Source organism: Homo sapiens, chromosome 7 (genome assembly GCF_000001405.40).
Source record: "Homo sapiens chromosome 7, GRCh38.p14 Primary Assembly".
NCBI classification, from domain to species: Eukaryota; Metazoa; Chordata; class Mammalia; order Primates; family Hominidae; genus Homo; species Homo sapiens.
This window is the reverse complement of record NC_000007.14, coordinates 112761676-112781321: the sequence shown is the minus strand read 5'-3', so window position 1 is coordinate 112781321 and position 19646 is coordinate 112761676. Positions and strand designations below refer to the sequence as shown.

Below are 19646 nucleotides of genomic sequence, written 5' to 3'. Positions count from 1 at the left end.
TGAAAATAATGAGTCCTCTGTTGTTGGGTACAGTGTACTATAAATATCAGCTAGATTAAGTTGGTTGGTGGTGGTGTTCATGTATCTATAGCCTTGTTAATTTTCTGTCTAATTCTGTAATACTGAGAGAGATGAAAATCTCTATTATAGTTCCTGAATTGTCTACTTGCTTTTTCAATTCTGTCTTTTTTTTTTTTTGCTTCTTTATTTTGAAGCACTGTTCCTAGAGGTAAATGCATGTTTGTTATATCTTCTTACCATATTAACTCTTGTAATTATGGTAAACAGCATAGTTGAGTAGTTAAAACAGAGATTGTATGGCCTGCAAAACAAAATATTAACTATCTGTGCCCCCGTTTTTTTTTTTTTTTTTTTTTTGATACGGATCATGTATTTGTGTGACCACCACTACCACAGTCAATTTGTAGAGCAGTTAAATCACTGCCAAAATTCCCTCTTGCTTCCTTGTAGTCAGTCCTTCTCCCAACCCCAGGTACTTGGCAACCTGTTTTCCGTTCCTAGACATTTTCCTTTTCCAGAATGTCATATTCGTAAAATCATTTAACATTGTAGTCTTTTGAGCCTGACTTTTGTTTTTGAGACAGGGTCTTGCTCTGCAGTGTGGGCTAGAGTACAATGGTACAATCATGGCTCACTGCAGCCTCGACCTCCTGCGCTCAAGCAGTCCTCCCTGCCTTGGCCTTCCAAAGTGCTGGGATTATAGGTGTGAGCCACTGCACCTGGCCCTGAGTCTGACTTCTTATTTAAATCATTTGAGATTCATCTGTGTTGCTGTGTGCCATCAGTAAGTTAGTTACTTTTATTGTGAGCAATATCCCATTGTATGGATGTTCCAGTTTATCCCTTACTCAGTTGAGAGACACTGAAATTATTTGCAGTTTTTTGGTAATTATGAATAAAGCTGCTATAAACCTTTGTAGACAAGGGTTTGTGTTAACATAAGCTTTTATTTTAGTGTGATGTGGGATTGCTGGGTCATGTGGAAAGCATTTCTTTTAACTTTATACTGCCATACATATGTATTTCTAATCTACAGAATAAGCTCATGACATAAATTATCTCTGTATATATTCCAGAAATCAAGACTCAAAAGGTTAATTAACTTATTCGTGTACACATAGCAAGTGGCTGAGCTGGGATTGAACAAAAGTCTAACTCCGAAGCTTGGGTCCTTTCCACTATGCCCTACTTCTTCCACGTAAAGAAGTCATTTGACTTTAAAATTATACAGTAGCCTTCATAATGTTCTTAAATTTCCTGAAACAAGCAAAGTTTTGAAAGTCGCCTGTGGTTTCTTAAAGCTGGATTTCTCACAGTCTCTCCATTTATATATTGCCGCATTTACGTATACTGTTTCTTAGTTGGGCTTTACTTTCTTTAGACTTCTATGTATGTTTTCCAAATCTGGTTTGCATAAGGTGACTCATACAAGAATGCTTCTAAACAAACAAGCCGTATATGTTTATGTAAATGTTACATTTTAAAAATGACATTGCATAAAGAAATTTTGTTCCTGTTATCTGAAAAATTTTAGGATATGAAACATTGAATACTTTGACCATGACTTGAAAGCCCAGCTGAATAGAGATCTAATAACTAGTAACAACTTTTATTCAAAGGGCATTACTTACAGGTTGTTTATTGGTCTTCTTTTGTGCTCAGTTTATATCTGCTCTGAAATATGAGCCATGTCTTAAAATTTGATAATGAGCTGAGGATAATTTGGAGAAGCAAAGGAGAATAAGTACTTGTAGGCTTGAATCAATTGATCTTATTTGTTACTTGGAATTAAGGTGTAAGGAGTACTCCAAAGTCACAAATGACTTCTAGATTGAAGCTATAGAATAAAGGTTTGCAGGCCAATAAAATTGAAGCTCTCTGAAAGTGGCAAGCAGACAAAACATCCTAAATTTATTTTGGCTTCCCCTGGACATACTTGCCATCTGTTCAGTTAAGATTACGAATTTTTGTATTGCCAAAATACTAACTTGTGTGTGATCATAATAGAATATTTAATACTGTTTTTCTAAGCTTGCTTTTTCAAAATAACCTAATAGAAGTACTTAATGATTTTTTCCTGATAAATTTGCTTTCTAAAAATGTATGACAGGGCCAGGCATGATGACTCACATTTGTAATTCCAGCAGTTTGGGAGGCCAAGGCAGGAGGATTGCTTGAACCCAGGAGTTTGAGACCAGCCTGGGCAACATAGGGAGACCTTGTCTCTACAAAAATAAAAAAATTAGCCAGGCATGGTGGTGCATGTGCCTGTGGTCCCAAGCTACTTGGGTGGCTGAGGTGGTAGGATCACATGAGCCTGAGAGGTCAAGGCTGCAGTGAATCGTGATCATGCCGCTGCACTCCAGCCTGGACGACGGAGTGAGACCCTGTCAATCAGCATAAAATTCTCAGTTTCTAAGATTTTTTAATATAAAAAGCAAGTAGTAACAGATCATCTGTTATTTATGAGTTGTGATCAATAGACCCCTAAATATCTACTTATTTAGTCTACTGTATCAAATATCATCATCAATGTTGCAAAACCAACATTAGGGTATTGAATAACATCACTATCAATTAACATTTTAATTGGAATTTTGAATTATTAGGCTTTTCATTTAAGTCATCTACAAATTGATTGACAATTGAACTTTATCATTTGCTTAGTTCACTGCTAAATCAAACTGTTTAATACTTTTTTCTAATAGTAAAAACATACTGAAGATTGAGAAGCACTGGTTTAGAAAAAATATGTAAATATATAAAATGTAATAGCCTGGAAATCAATCAGAAAATTGGAACTGATTCCATTTGTAAGAACAGAAACATAAAATAAGTTTTAAACTTATAAAACTTTTATTTTAAAATTACTACAAACCTCAATGTAGGTTATAAAAGAAGACTTCAATAAATGGAAAAACACACCATACTTCCTGGGATGAAAAGACTCAATGCGGTGCCTTGCAGGCATTTGTATACATAGAGGAAACTGTTTTCAAAGCTGAGCTGCACTTTTGGTCCCCTCAAGAGTGGCAAAAATAAAAGCCAAGCCCAGGGCCTCCAGAAGTGAGATCTCTGGTAAATTACCTCCCATTTTACGCTTACACACTGAAAGAAGAGGGTGGAGCCATGTGTGTTATAGCCCTCTCATGAACTTGCTTTCTGCCCTTGTGTCCTGTTGGTGGTTCAACCTGGGATTAAGTGGTCAAACCTGAATTAAGATATGTAGACTCGTAATGTCCGCAGCTCTCTGGAAGAAACAGATTGCCTCTAGGAGAAGGTATCATTATCCTAGGCCTAAAGTTAATAATAATATAATTTTTATATCCAGTGTTCAGCTTATAAATTTAACCAGGTACACACACACACACACACACACACACACACACACACACACACACACACACACACACAGCACCAAGAGCAAGAAGCAGCAAAACCAACAGACAACAGAAAAAAATCTTTAGGTATTGGAATTATCAAACAGAAAACCATCATGCTAAGTTGCAAAAGTAAAAGGAGAGATCAGGACATAATGGTAGTACACTGGAAACTTTAAAAAATGACAAGGCAGATTTTACAAAGAACTAAATAGAAATTTAGATCAGGAAATAAATTATTTCAGTGTTGCAAACATAACATTAGACAAAGCTGAAGTGGGCATTAGTGAACTGGAAGATACAGTTCAGAAGAAGCTATATAAGCAGCAGCATGAAAGAGCAGTATGGAAAATACTGAACAGAAGGAAAGGATAAGACTCAGAGGATATGGTAAGAAGATCTCATATTTTATAAGAGTCTCAAAAATAGAGGGAAGAAATGAAGGCCAAAGGAAATATGTGAAAGAATAAAAAATAGAACAACAGAACAGAAGAAGAGAGACCAAAAACAGGTCCATGAATACTTATGACAAAAGTGGCACTGTAATGTGGAGTGGTTGATATTTTCAGTAATTTGTGCTTGAACAATTGAGTGTTTCTGTAGAAGAAAAAATTGGACCATTATCATAAAATCAGTTATATTTGGATTATAGTTTTAAATGTAAAGGCAAAACAATAAAGCCTTTAGAGGATAATGTTAAAATATCTTCTTAATGGTTGGATAGAGGGATTTTTTTTAACAAGGCATAAAGTGACTATATTATAATTAAGAACTCATGTTAAGCAAAAAACAGCATTAAGGTAGTCACAGAGTCACCAACAAAAGACTTTCATTGAAACTATGTTCAGAACCAAACAAAACTAAATCAGTGAAGAAAAGGTCAACCCCATAGAAAGGTGGGCAAAATATTTAACACTTCATCAAAGATGATACCCACATAGTGAAAGGTACTTAACCTCATTAATAATCAGAACTTGATATTTATTCTAGTTTTGGTGTAATGGCAAACTGTAAGCAATTTAAATACCAATAATGGGATCCACTAATTAAAGTTTTATATGTATCATAGGAATGCCATTTGGTCTTTACAAGTGATTTAGAGTAATGTAAGCTTAAATTAAAATGTTGATAGATTATGTATCCCATTTTGGTAAAAAAAAAAAACATACACATGAATATGTATTTGTGAAAAATACATTGCATGAAGTCTGGGAATATTTCAGAGTAGCTGTGCGTATAGATGATGGTATTTGGAATGATTTTAATCACATATCTTTTTTACTTATTTGTATTTTCTAGTGTTTTTAAATGGAGCATGTACTGTGTTATTTATGTCATTGACAAAATAGGATGTACCAAAATAGGGCAGTATATTCATTTTTCTATTGCAGGAATTAATTTTTTTATTAAATTTTGATCAAGTGAACCACCCCTTAGTGTTAAAAGTATGTGTTCATGCACCTAGGCATATAGTATGTGCAGTAGCAATACCGGAAGAATGTAATAGTTTAATATTCTAAAGAAATGTTCAAGTGACTATCCATTTTCTTTTCACTTAAATGAGTCTTAATTTTTTCTGCTTTTTCATTGCAGTTAATACCTGATTGCCTCCTCCTTATTTCTTCTGCCTGTCTACTTTCCATTCTGCTTTTACAATGCTTATATGTCCTTAATATTTTCTTCTGTTAAATTTTGATTGCACATCTAGAGAGTTCAGTGCTTTATAAGGTAAACTATATCATATAAACGGAATTCGTTTTTATAGCTTTAGGGTCTTAAATTTCCTTAAGAACTTATACAGAAAGAAAGTAATAGAGAAAGAATACAGAAAGCATATAGAAAAAAGTAATAGTTTAATATTCTAAAGGTATGTTCAAGTGACTATCCATTTTCTTTTCACTTAAATGAGTATTTTTTCTGCTTTTTCATTGCAATTAATACCTGATTGCCTCCTGCTTATTTCTTCTGCCTGTCTACTTTCCATTCTGCTTTTACAATGCTTACGTGTCCTCAATATTTTCTTCTGTTAAAATTTTGAATTTGCACATCTAGAGAGTTCAGTGCTTTATAAGGTAAACTATACCATATAAACGGAATTAGTTTTTATGGCTTTAGGGTCTTAAATTTCCTTAAGAATTTACTTTCATAATTTCATGGGGAAAAAATGACCCCTTTCTAAAGCACTCTTTTTGATAAAGTAAATAAATCTGTTATTTGAAAAATGACATAGGCATGTGGGTTTTAACAAGATATTTGTTTTCTGGCATTTTCTCTGTTATATCAAAGAGTGGTTTTGGTTTGTTTTGTTTTTTTTTTTTTTCTCGTCTGGATAGGATGTTATTTGACAATTCTTTTTTAAAAATGATGTGCCGTGTTTTGCCACAACTTCCAAAAAACTAAGAGATAAATTTAGGATTTATTGCACTAGTTAGCTCATCCATGTATACGTGTCTGCTTTAACTGAAAATTGTTTTTAGATCATTAATTGTTCCTTTTATCCTTTTTGAAAGTAGAAGCTAAAAAATGTGAATCAATGTGCATGCATGTAAATATATACACATATGTACATGTACTATGTAAACATGTTTTGGATTTCTTTTAGCCAACAAATGGAATTTTCTTGAGCATGTTTCTAATCGTTTTGCCATTGGAATCCATGGCTCATGGGCTCTTCCATGAATTGGGTAACTGTTTAGGAGGAACATCTGTTGGATATGCTATTGTGATTCCCACCAACTTCTGCAGGTACAGTAATCTAGTATAGTTAGTGATAACTATTCACTTCATAACATTTTCTTAATATTTATATGAATAAAATATAGCTCCTTTTCAAAACTGTTTTCAAAATATAACTTGTGCATTTCTTCCAAATTTTTAACAAACTTTATTCCAAGTGATAATATCTTCAGAGTTAAATTGAAATATTTTGATAAATATGATAAGCTTATATTTTAGCTAGAAACCAGAAAATATTCATGAATAACTTTTCTAAGGAAAGATCTTACCCTAAAGGGAATATTTTGTTAAGAAAGTGTCCTCTGGCTGGTCGTGGTGGCTCACACCTGTAATCCCAGCACTTTAGGAGGCCGAGGCGGGCGGATCACCTGAGGTCAGGAGTTCGAGACCAGCCTGGCCAACATGGTGAAACCCCATCTCTACTGAAAATACAAAAATTAGCCAGGTGTGGTGGCAGGTACCTGCAATCCCAGCTACTCAGGAGGCTGAGGCAGGAGAGTCACTTGAACCTGGGAGGCGGAGGTTGCAGTGAGCTGAGATAGGGCCATTGCTCTCCAGCCTGGGGGATAAGAGCAAGACTTCGTCTCAAAAAAAAAAAAGGAAAAAAGCAAAAGAAAGTGTCCTCTGAAGCAACATAGTGAAATATAGTAAAACGTGCTCTGGGCCTGAGAGGCTGGAGGTCTAGTTCTTTGTTACCTTTGGTACACTATAACTACTCTGAACCTTATTATCTGTCTTTGCCTAAAATGTATATAGTGATAACTCTTCTGTTCATCTGACAGGAATGGTATGAAGCACTAAAAAAAAAAAAAAAAAAAAAAAAAATGTAAAAACACTCTGCACACTGAAAAATGCCATACAAATACTAGGAATTCAGAGGATTGGCAGTGAAGTTTAATAAATGTTTATTGCAGTTTTATTCCAAAATAACTTTTACCCACAAAGGTGGTGACATCTGTATAAATCTGTAAATGTTGCTACATTTTGATTTTTATTTTATAGCTAACTACCTTTAAAATAATTCTTTGCCATAAATGAATTCTGATGACAGTTTTCATCACACTTTCCCTGGGGGAGAGGAGAGTGGAAGTAAAGTTTTTTCCCAATTTCAAGTATTTGACATAAAAATCTCCAAATAGACTATTTGTAGGAAATATTTTCCTTCGTTAAAGACTTAATACAAAGTTGAAGGTTTAAGAACTGAAGGAAACAGATTTGGAAATGTCACATAAAGTGAGAAATGACAACCTTGTAGAAAGAATGTGTGGAAATAGTAATATGCACAGTTAGATATTTATTCCATTGTAATTTTTTTAATGTATTCCTTACTCTTTTGTGACTGTAATGAAAAAAAGTTAGTAGAATAGTACTGATGATATATGAAGCAAAATCTAACGTTTTCAAAAATCCCGATAGAAATCCCTTTTCTGGATAGGAATGATGATTTTTTCTTTCTCAATATTAATGGTATTTTGCTAGTTATAAGACTTGCTTTATCATCTTTGTACTAGAGTACCATTTTATATTTGTTCTAGGAGTAAATCTAAGTCTTCAACTAGTGTCCAGTGGTATAAAGCAATGGACCTAAATTTTAATAACTTTTTAAATGCCTATTAATAGATAATTTCTTCTATTATTTATGTACCTTAAGTTAATAAAATTTGAACACAATTTTATTGACTATTTTTCAATACAGAAGTAAATATATAATTAAAATATTGCTTTTTTATTTTGTGTTATAATATTTTTAAAGAAGTTTTTTTAATAGTCCCCACCCAGATGTTCTTGAAACAGTGTAATCCTGCTTTTAAAAAACCTTGTCCAATATTTGTCATGTAAGAAAATACGAATAAGGAACAAAGAGTAATACTATCTACATTTGGAGACATTATCCCAGCTTTTAATTTGATTATTGTTTTAATGATAGTAAATATAATATTTAGAAACCAGGTTTTGATTTTCTAAGCTTAATTCTCAGTACTATAGGAATTTTAGAAAGGGTGATTTTTTACAAAAATCCTGCCACTTAGCAGCAACTATATTATAACTGATTCTTAGATAATCAGTTACAAATGACAGATGAGAATGTGATATAGAATGAGTACTTCTTGTTTTTTCTCCTACTTCAGTCCTGATGGTCAGCCAACACTGCTTCCCCCAGAACATGTACAGGAGTTAAATTTGAGGTCTACTGGCATGCTCAATGCTATCCAAAGATTTTTTGCATATCATATGATTGAGACCTATGGATGTGACTATTCCACAAGTGGACTGTCATTTGATACTCTGCATTCCAAACTAAAAGCTTTCCTCGAACTTCGGACAGTGGATGGACCCAGACATGATACGTATATTTTGTATTACAGTGGGCACACCCATGGTACAGGAGAGTGGGCTCTAGCAGGTAAACTCACCTTTGGCAGTTTCACTATTGTAAAGATACACATGTATATGTAGAAATCTGTACTTCACACACAGTCGTTAAATTTCCAGGATTCTTAGTTTACTGAACTATGCATATGACTCTAATTTGTTTTTCTTTGCTCTAGCATACCTGTTTAGCCTAATTTAATCTCTAATGATAAGATTGGGAATTACGTCTTATAGTGATTAGAAGGAAAAAAATGCTTTGAGACTTACAGTTTCCCTTAAAATATTTTCAGAATTGCTAAACATATTTTTCAGAAGCTGATAAACTCCTTTGACTAGTATCTTTAAGTTTTTAAATGTTATGGATGCAGATTTCAGTAGTCCTTCACATCTGTAGTTTTATTTATGTTATAAAGCTCACCAAAATTTTAAACAGCAGATCATGTAGTATGGTGGGAGTAGCACTTAGGTCAGGAGACCTTGGTTCTGGTCCTAATTTGCCACAGCTGTGTTATTTTAGGCAAGTTAGTTAACTTCTGTTGGCTTCAATTTTCTCATCTGTAAAATAAGGGGGTAATTGTAAATGACCATTGAGTTTTATTCTAAGGTACAAAATTCTGTAGGGATTTTTTTGCATTTGAAAAAACATAAAATAACTTTGGTTTGCATGCATTATGGGAAATAGAAAACTTCTTAGTTATTGCCAAGAGAGAAATGAGATCTCTTTATATCATATATAAATTTGTCAGTCTTTCCAACTATTAATAGAGAGAAAGTCAAGGGCTTTGTTTTATCAACTGTTACTTGTTTAGGACCTATAACAGAGCCCAATACATAGTAGAGGATCCTTAAGTAGCTGATAGATAGATGAAATCATTGAATAAATCATTAAAAAAGGTAATTTTCTTATTTTAGATTAGAAATAGTTATTTTAGATTTAATTACATGATTTTTTTTTCCATAAAAGTGTAGATGTTTTAAACCAAGAATATATAAATAATAAAATAGTCATAAATAAAGTGGAAACATTCAGGATAAAGAAAAAGATAAATAGAAGTAGTATGGAAGGACAGAGGCAGAGTTGCCAATATAAGAACTCCAGAAAGAGACAAACAAAAAGGTTAAGGTAGAGATGATTTTAAACTAGCATGATCTCATTGATTTCATGCCAGATTTGTAACTGAGGTTTTTATCATAAGGAGAAATATTTTTTTGAAATTTTTCTTTTTTGCAAATAAATATTGAATAACTCAGTGGCCTTCTAGTAGAAAGACAAGCTAATATTTATTGGGTACATTTTAAGCATCAGCTTACTGTACTTAGTACCTTACACACATTGTTAATCTTTATGTGAAATCCTTTGAGATAGATACCATCACTTCTGTTATCTTCATTTTTCAAACGATGAAATGGAAATTGAAAGTTGTTATGTAACTTATCTGTGGTCATACCACTATGTGATAGAACCATGATTTAAGACCAGATCTGCCTGATTCCTAAAGTGTATTTTTCCCCCCACTCTACCATGTTGCCTCCAAGGGTGAAAGCCATGATGATAAAGGAATGGCATGTTCTGGTTAAGTGGATATTTTTGTTAACATGGGTCACCCATTTCAAAACATTAGAATGTACAAGACTAAAAGATGCACTGAACATTAAAACTAATTGAATATAGTTTATAAAATCATTTACTTGACCTATAACTTTTTAATTACAACGTAGAAAGCATCTTTTTAACCTTTATGGCTACTTCAGTTTCAGGTAAAGTATAACGTTCTGTGTATTCCAACTCAGAGCACAAGAGAAAGCTTTTAGTCAATTAAAATAGCCTTTACAGAAATAGAATTTTAGATCTAAAAGCAGAGATTGCTGAAACTTACTATAATCCTTATGATAATAAACTCTACCCAGATCAAATGGAAAAAACAGGGCTAATTTTTGGTGGCCATGCATATATCCCTAGTTATTTTAAAGTGTTAGAGTAATTTTAGAAGTAAGCTTTTTATGTGTGTTTATATGAAGGATTTATTACTTAATAGAAACACTTTTCAAAAAGTTTGCATTTTTCTTAAGTAATTTAAAATTCATTAAGTATTTCTTAAAGATAGCTATGGAAATCAATTCTAGATGTTCATTTACTAATACTTATATCAGCTTTTTATTTTTCTAAGAAAAGTAAAAACACTAAGATAAACACACACACACATATATATATCTCTCGCAGTTTTTCTAAATTTTCATTCACTGTTAGGAATAATTTTTGAAGACTTTAAGAACACTAAAATAGAGTTGTATTTTAGGTAAATGTTTAGCAGTTACATTCTAGAATGATGTCTTTATAATTTTTTTGAAGTATGCTACCAGTAAATTGACCGTTACAGAATTCCTCTGTTAGCTAAGATTTGTTCTTGTGTAACTTTGAGGCTTATTATAAGAAGTTTAAAAAAAAGAGAGAGAAAGCATACTGATCTCCCTTCCCTGAGAAAGGTAGATTTTATCTTATAATTCAGCAACTGCATACTGTCATGCATGGCCTGAGGCATCTCGCATACTTGTGGGTAGTCAGGTTGAACCAGGCCCAGAAAAGCCCGCTTTTCAGTTAGTTCATGCCCTGGCCTGCTTTAGACGTAGTCCTCAAGGGCTGATTCTGCCTCACAAATAGTATTGAATATCTCTGCTCTGAGGAAAATACTTTCATCTATTCCAAATTAAGTGACAAAGAGCTTTAAGCTCTGCTAATTTATTAATAGTTGGGGATTTTTTGTTTTGTTTTTTGTTGTTTTTTCAGCAAACTTTGAAATAGGAAACATCACAACTGGATTTTACTTGGGTTAGCAAGTTGATAGCAGGCCCAGTATTAATATCGCTGTGGGAAAGAGAATCTATATTTGCCCTTTATCCCATACCTTCACTCACAGTAGTTAGAATATGTAGTCTTCTTATATTTATGGAGTTTCATGATATGGAACCTAATATTTTTGCCTCTGCTTGAGGATAGAAAACAATTATGGTAATTACAGGAGAGACAGAAATAAATGGAAAAAATGTAGATAATTTATAAAGCAGTTTATTACAAATAAAACCTTTAAAAAGCAGTCTCAATTACTTAAAATGCATCAGATGGATATTAGCTTAGATAAATGTAAGTACTTTGAATCTGGGCCAAAAGCCAAATGTAGCATAGAACCTATTCATAGGAGAAAGCAGAGCAAAACAAGAGAAATTGTTTAGAAAGCTTTAATGCTGCTTTAGGTCTCGTTGATATCTAAAGAGCATTTATATAAGAGAATTAGGGTAGAATATGCTCAAGAATGTTTATTGAAATAGTTGTGGATGGCATGTTGGGCAATGATGTTTTGTGGCAGATGGAATTTACATAATAGTTCTTGTAATCTGTGTCATCTTCTGATCTCTAGAGAAATTTAATAGAGCTGACAATAATGGAGAGTTAACATTTGGCCATTTTTGAAAAAGTATCTTTTGGAGGTATCAGTGGAATAACACATTAGTAATATGTGGAGACAATGTACTGAAATAGTGTCTCTGAGATAATATGTGTGAGTGTTAGAGCGATTAATAAAAAAAGTTTATTTTCAGGTTCTTAAGCTTACTGATTAATAAAACATTAATAAATGACACATAAAGAATATGATAGAATCCCAATTCTAAAGGATTCTCTCTCTGGTGGTGTCCATTTTTAATGGTGAAACCAAGAGGACAGTTGATTTGGGGAAAATGTTGGGTCTTGTGCTGGTAAATTGTAAAAGTAACTTATGCTCAATGTAAAACTGTCAGAAAAATATTTTAAAAACCACATGGAAGTGAAACACCCAGCAATAGCTGCTGTTATAATTTTTGTAGATGTACTGTCATGCTTTTTCTAATATAGACATTTTCTCATCAATAAATTTTCTTTATAAATATTTTGTTATAAGATTTCCTCCTAAGGTTTTAGGCCATAGTTCATTTCCATTTCCCAAATGGGAAGGTCGTCTTTTTTTGTAATTTTTTGTCCCTATGTCTGTTCTTTCCTTAAGATAGATTCGTAGAATTGGAATGATCGTTATCAGTGTACCATTGAGACAGGGCCAGATGAGGTGAGGGTGGCAGTTGCCTCAGGCACAAAACATAAGGGAATGCCAAAAAACTCAATAATCAAAATGAATATTTTAATGTAGTATACTTAAAAATCAAAATTAATGCAAAAAAATAACGAGATGTAAAACCTGTAGTCAGAAGTTTATTTACTTTAGAACTTTCTGGGTATATATATTTTTTTAATCCCTTGTTCTTCAGCTATAAAACTGATTTAAATGTAAATCTGTTCTTAAACTCATTCTTGTACAGGTAGGAACAGGGTTTATTTTCATTCAATAGGTACCTACATATGAGGAAGAGAAGGAAACAATGATACAGAATGGGGAGGCAAACTTTTTCTGTAAAGGGCCAGATATTTTTGGCTTTGTGGGTTTAGATGCCTGTTGCAGCTATTCAGCTCTGCTACTTTAGAGCAATAGCAGCCATAGACGGTATAAATGAATGAATGTAGTTGTGTTCCAATAAACTTATTTATGAAAATAATTATATGAAACAAATTGCATACAGTTTTTACTATCACAAAATATTCTGATTTTCTTTCAACCATGTGAAAATATAAAATCAATTCTTAGCTTTCAGGCCATACAAAAAGAGGTGGCAGGCTGGATCTGGCCCATGAGTTGTAGTTGCTGCCCCTGGTGTAGAATGTTAGCTTTTCTGTATAGTTGTTTTCACTAAATACAACTGTGTAAAACTATTTCCTTAATTTTATACTAGCAGATTCCTTTTTATGTGAGTAATAAGGATTTTTTTTACCTCAAGTTGAAAATCTGTTGTAAAAAATATCTTTTCAAAAGATACTTTGAAAGTGTCATTTAAATACTTTATTTTTTTGCTTATTTAATTCTAAGAACTTAAGGAAAATACATGTATAACAAGAGTATTTTCTCTCTAGAAGAAAATGATTAAGAGGGTTTTCTTAATGAGAGGCTGCAGAAATTATTGCTCCATTGAATTTTCTCTTGTTCACAGGTGGAGATACACTACGCCTTGACACACTTATAGAATGGTGGAGAGAAAAGAATGGTTCCTTTTGTTCCCGGCTTATTATCGTATTAGACAGCGAAAATTCAACCCCTTGGGTGAAAGAAGTGAGGAAAATTAATGACCAGTATATTGCAGTGCAAGGAGCAGAGTTGATAAAAACAGTAGATATTGAAGAAGCTGACCCGCCACAGCTAGGTGACTTTACAAAAGACTGGGTAGAATATAACTGCAACTCCAGTAATAACATCTGCTGGACTGAAAAGGGACGCACAGTGAAAGCAGTATATGGTGTGTCAAAACGGTGGAGTGACTACACTCTGCATTTGCCAACGGGAAGCGATGTGGCCAAGCACTGGATGTTACACTTTCCTCGTATTACATATCCCCTAGTGCATTTGGCAAATTGGTTATGCGGTCTGAACCTTTTTTGGATCTGCAAAACTTGTTTTAGGTGCTTGAAAAGATTAAAAATGAGTTGGTTTCTTCCTACTGTGCTGGACACAGGACAAGGCTTCAAACTTGTCAAATCTTAATTTGGACCCCAAAGCGGGATATTAATAAGCACTCATACTACCAATTATCACTAACTTGCCATTTTTTGTATGCTGTATTTTTATTTGTGGAAAATACCTTGCTACTTCTGTAGCTGCTCTCACTTTGTCTTTTCTTAAGTAATTATGGTATATATAAGGCGTTGGGAAAAAACATTTTATAATGAAAGTATGTAGGGAGTCAAATGCTTACTGTAAATGCATAAGAGACGTTAAAAATAACACTGCACTTTCAGGAATGTTTGCTTATGGTCCTGATTAGAAAGAAACAGTTGTCTATGCTCTGCAATGGTCAATGATGAATTACTAATGCCTTATTTTCTAGGCATATAATAATAGTTTAGAGAATGTAGACCAGATAAATTTGTTTACTGTTTTAAGAAAACTACCAGTTTACTTACAGAAGATTCTTTTTTCCAAACAGTAGGTTTCATCCAAGACCATTTGAAGAACTGCAAACTCTTTCTCTTAGAAAAGAAAGAGGGCAGCCTAAAATAAACGCAAAATTTGCTTATACTCCATCACATTCAGATGTCTTGGTTGTGACTTATTACCAGTGTGGCAGAGAACCCAAGTTACATTTTAGATCAAAATATTCTTTATGTAGGTATTGTTAAAAGGCTAGAGCCTACAAGTTGCTCTTCCATGCGTTGGTCAGGGGGCCCTGAAAACACTGGTAATATTAAGAGTCTTTCTCAGGGTAACTTAATGTTTTCTTAATGAACAGTGTTTCCAGCTACAAATTCTTCCAATAAATTGTCTTCCTTTTTGAAAAGTACTCTCATAGAAGAAATTTAGCAATTTCTCGTTGACTGACTCAGTCTATTTTAAGTATTCAGAAAAGATTTTGATCCCCATTGAGTTAATGCTCTGCCTTGAAAATTATTTTTCTGATCCTTGTTAGTGATAACATTTTTTTTCTACTGAAGGTCAGAGGATAGGAAACAAGTATTTCTCTTCTGGTATACATGTAATGTATTCTGTAAAAAAGTATTCATATTGGCAATTTTAGTTAGGCATAATATTGTGGTTGTAATTTTTAAAACTTAGTGTTTTGTCTGATTAAAGCAGGCACTGATCAGGGTATCTCCTAAGAGGTAATTCACTTCTTATTCCTTTCCAATAATTATTACATTCTAAATTTTCATCTATGAGAAATAACAAACAAGAAGGGAATAGAATTAAATTGGGGTATAATCTAATCTTCATTGTTTAAATGGTTTGCCTTCTCACCATTGAAGCCATTTTTTTATAGCCTCAGAAAGAGGAAATAATGCCTCCACCATTTTCTACCTGGTGACTTGAAAATTGAACTTTTAAGTTAGGAAGAAGTTAGAGTCAGGGAACTTGTATACCACTATCTATGCAGCATTGTTATAGTCTGATTATTTCTGTGTTTTGAATATGATTTTCCTAATGCTCTAAATAAAATTTTGTTAAAAATTAATTTTTTATTTAATGATGTGCAAATATTGAATATTTTAGTATATTTATTAAAAGTGGTAGTCATTAAAAATGCCCATGTTTTAGAGTTCATGTTTGGAAGTTTCCATTATAGGTTAAGGATTTATATTAGTATTGTCCAAATAAAATAGTATAGTTTTTTTTATTGCTCTGTTCAGCAGTAGGGTAGTAGAAAAGCCAAATGTTAAAATTATGAGCTTTTAGCTTAAAAAAAGTTAATGTTAAGTAAAATCTCCTTTTAAATTTCTCAGCTATTTGTGAGCAGGTTAGCTTTAAAGCATTATCTCTTCACTTTAAGAAAGCCAAATACAAAAGTATATTCTGCATTCTTTATAAGGTAGTATTAAGGTGGTACTAAAAATTACATTTTAAAAACAGCTGACAGTTTGACAGCCACAAACCTAACTTTTTCATATGTATTTCCTGTGAAAGTAAAACCAAAAATGGTCTTTGGGCCAAGAATGTGACTTGAGCCAATTTGTTAACCAAAAATTTATAGAATGTCCACTTTGATGAATTCTCCTACCCAAACAAACAAAAAACAATAAATGACTTTTTGGGATGGTATCACAAAGCTAACATTTTAAAAACAATAACTAGGCCGGGTGCAGTGGCTCACGCCTGTAATCCCAGCACTTTGGGAGGCCTAGGTGGGTGGATCACTTGAGGCCAGGAGTTTGAGACCAGCCTGGCCAACATGGGGAAACCTCATCGCTACTAAAAATACAAAAAAAATTATTAGCCGGGCATGGTGGCAGGTGCCTGTAATCCCAGCTACTTGGGAGGCTAAGGCACAAGAATCGCTTGAACCCGGGAGGCAGAGGTTGCAGTGAGCTGAGATTGTGCCACTGCACTCCAGCCTGGGCGACAGAGCAGGACTCTTTCTTTGTCTCAAAAAAAAAAAAAAGTACATGTTTAGCCAGGCATGGTGGCTCATGCCTGTAATCCCAGCACTTTGGGAGGCCGAGGCAGGTGGATCAAAAGGTCAAGAGATGGAGACCATCTGGCCAACATGGTGAAACCCCATCTCTACTAAAAATAAAAAAATCAGCTGGGCGTGGTGGTGCACGCCTGTAGTCCCATCTACTTGGGAGACTGAGGCAGGAGAATCTCTTGAACCGGGGAGGCAGAGGTTGCAGTGAGCCGAGATTGCGCCACTGCACTCCAGCCTGGCAACAGAGAGAGACTCCATCTCAAAAAAAAAAAGAAACAAACAAAAAAAATAATAAGGGTGTAGAAAAGAAATATTACAAGAAGAATAAAGTGATTGGTTACTTTCACCTAAAGATTGAAAAATAGATCTGACAATGAGACTAATTTGTCTATGGCTGTCATGTTTAAGAAAGAGTTGCTTGGAGTGAAAGGAATTATTTTAGGGCAAAACTTTACCATTCTACTAAAAAGAGGTAACATGGAGATTTTTTCAACATAACTTTGTTTAGTATTTGTTTCCTCATGTGATACCTTGCTAAAACCACAAAACCACTAGCTCTAAAAACATCATCTTTTTTTTCAATAGAATAAAAAAAACAGTATGAATTTATTTTCTTTTTTTAACCATTATTTATTTATTTTAATTTTATTATTATTATACTTTAAGTTTTAGGGTACATGTGCAAATAGCATACACACTGTTGCAAAATAAATAAGGAGCCAAGTTCTTTCTCTCCCCATGACTTTTCAGTTATGCCATCATTTTATTCAAAAATTTTTAGTTTGCTCTGATCTAAACTCTTCCCTGGGAAACTTGGGGTTATATTTCCATAGAATTCTGTCTTGCTCTTAATAAATTCAAAATTCTTTGGAAAAGATGCATTTCAGAGGATTATTCTTATGACCAGTTATGCTTTAAAAAAATTAAAGTCTTAATTAAAATGCACTTATATTTAATGCATTAGTGGGTAGATTTTTGTTTTGAGTAAAATCTTTATTAGAATCTATTTGTAACTGGATATTTTGTAATTTTGGGCTCAAACATATTTACTCTTGGGTACTGCTTTTTTATATGTATTCAAATTTATAGCTTAGTCTCTTTTAAAGTAATATTCTACATTACTTTCCCACAAGTGATGATAGTTAATATAATGTATGCCAGAAGAAAATGATTTAATTTTAAGAATGTGATTAGATATATTTGACAGTAAGTGCTCAAAGGAGTTAGATCTGTCAGTACTTTCGAATGTCTCCTGTATTGGAAACTATTAGACTGTCACCTCTTTTTAGGCAGAGGCTTACACATGTTGGTATTTCTGGTACACAGTTACCGAGAAGAGTGCCTTGTCCGTAATGAGAAGCATTTAATAAATATTTTGGACTGAGTGAATAAATCTAGAATCCTAAGGAGAAATTGGAATAACTTGATTGTAAATTACTACATTTTCTTTAGTTTTACTTAAATGGATATTATTTCAAGATCTTCATTAAGCAAGTAATTTAGTAAAAAACTTACAGAATCCATAAAAAGAAAGCAAATCTCAAATTTGTAGTTAAGAGTAATAAGTGTTAAGATTAGGGAAGGAAAAACTGTTTCAGAACTGGTTTGAATGAAAACATAGCTGATGTTGCCAAAAAATGGCTTTTTGTGAGTTGAGTCCATTTCCATCATGACTCTAATATCATTAAGATTGAATCATTCATTTCCTCACTATTATATCTAGACAGATTGGAAATTTACCAGAAATGGAAATTATTAAAAGTCTGACTGATGAACAAAGAAGGAATTTGACTATGCATATCAGTGACAACTAAATTGGAAGGTCAGTAAAATAGGCCTATAAGCATAAGCAGGTTAAGGACAAGCTAGGGAAACTATAAGTATCTCCTTTTTTATATTGTCTTACCTATTCACTAATTATAACACATAGAAACAATATAAAACGATGAAGTTTAAGCAGTAATTGTTTTGAGAAACCATTCTGTTGATAATTTACATTTATGTTTATTAGGAAATATTGTTATTATTACTTAGACCAAAGTTGACTGAAAATTGAAAACTGTGGGCTACCCGTAAGGTTTTTTGCTTTGAAATATTCAATACCTAAAAGCCATTTTGATTTTAAAAATGAAGTTGACCAGTCATCTTGTATGATGACCTCATAATATTTTATAAGTTTGAACTTAAAATAGTTAGAAGTAGACAGTTTTAGTAAGCTTTTGTTTTTATTTGGTCTAGCCTAAAAGACATTGATTTATCTCAAAGATTTTTAGCAGTGTGCAAGGGACAAATGAGTATGACATAGCTTCCTAGACAAGCAGTGTTCACTCAATGCCAAGTAAACTTTTCTAAGTTCAAAAATATTTTTATATTAAAACACATACCAATGTATTGATGAACAAAATTCGCATTAATTTTTAATATAAACTATAGACTTCCTCAAAGCAATTTTAATCTTGCTATGGGTCATTTGATTCATCCTCCTCACCCCCAAACACTTTGGACCCAATATTGCATGTTAATGACACTCTAAACAAGTTTGTTTGTTTTTTTTTTTTAAATTTTTTGTCTTTTGACTTGGAGTACAAATAGCACAATTAATTTTCACTAAACAAATCATTTTGTTTATACATAGAATTTCAGATAGATGCCATTTTAATGGGATTTTATAATAGATATTTCTAGATTCTTCAGAGTCCTTATACATAATTTGTTCTACACACTTGGGTATTGGTAAGAAAATACAGGATACGGATTTTAATTTGTAATCCACATCCATGTGTATTGATACACGTTCTCTCCTATTTCTCTCCTACCTAATTAGAAGAGTTATTCTTTACAACACCTAACCTTTGGATTCCTCTCTTCCCTTCCTCATGAAACAATTTAATAAAAATGACAATGGCTATTACTTATTGTTCGCTAGGTTCTAGCACTGTGGTAAGTACTTCTGTGTACTGATTTCGTTGAATCCTCCCACCCACCTTTTATGGTAGATATACTTTTATGAATGAGGAAACTGAGGCATAACTTTACCAAAATGACAAAGCTATGTCTAAGAAATTGGGTATCAAACTCAGCTTTAACCCCAAACTCCTTAAAAAA

The 19646-nt window shown here is 33.1% G+C and overlaps 1 protein-coding gene across 5 annotated transcripts in view; it reads left to right on the top strand.

Moving 5' to 3' along the window:
* The window catches only part of TMEM168 (transmembrane protein 168), a 28017-nt gene extending 9072 nt beyond the window's left edge, over window positions 1-18945 (top strand). For all 5 annotated transcript variants that reach the window (NR_109840.2, NM_022484.6, NM_001287497.2 and 2 more), the window contains 3 exons: window positions 6004-6146; window positions 8267-8541; window positions 13578-18945. Coding sequence is in view for 4 of the 5 variants with exons in the window: in NM_022484.6 (NP_071929.3) it covers window positions 6004-6146; window positions 8267-8541; window positions 13578-14125 (966 nt within the window). In the remaining variant the exon portion in view is untranslated. The remainder of the gene's footprint in view (window positions 1-6003; window positions 6147-8266; window positions 8542-13577) is intronic.
* The last annotated feature ends 701 nt before the right edge of the window (window positions 18946-19646 follow it).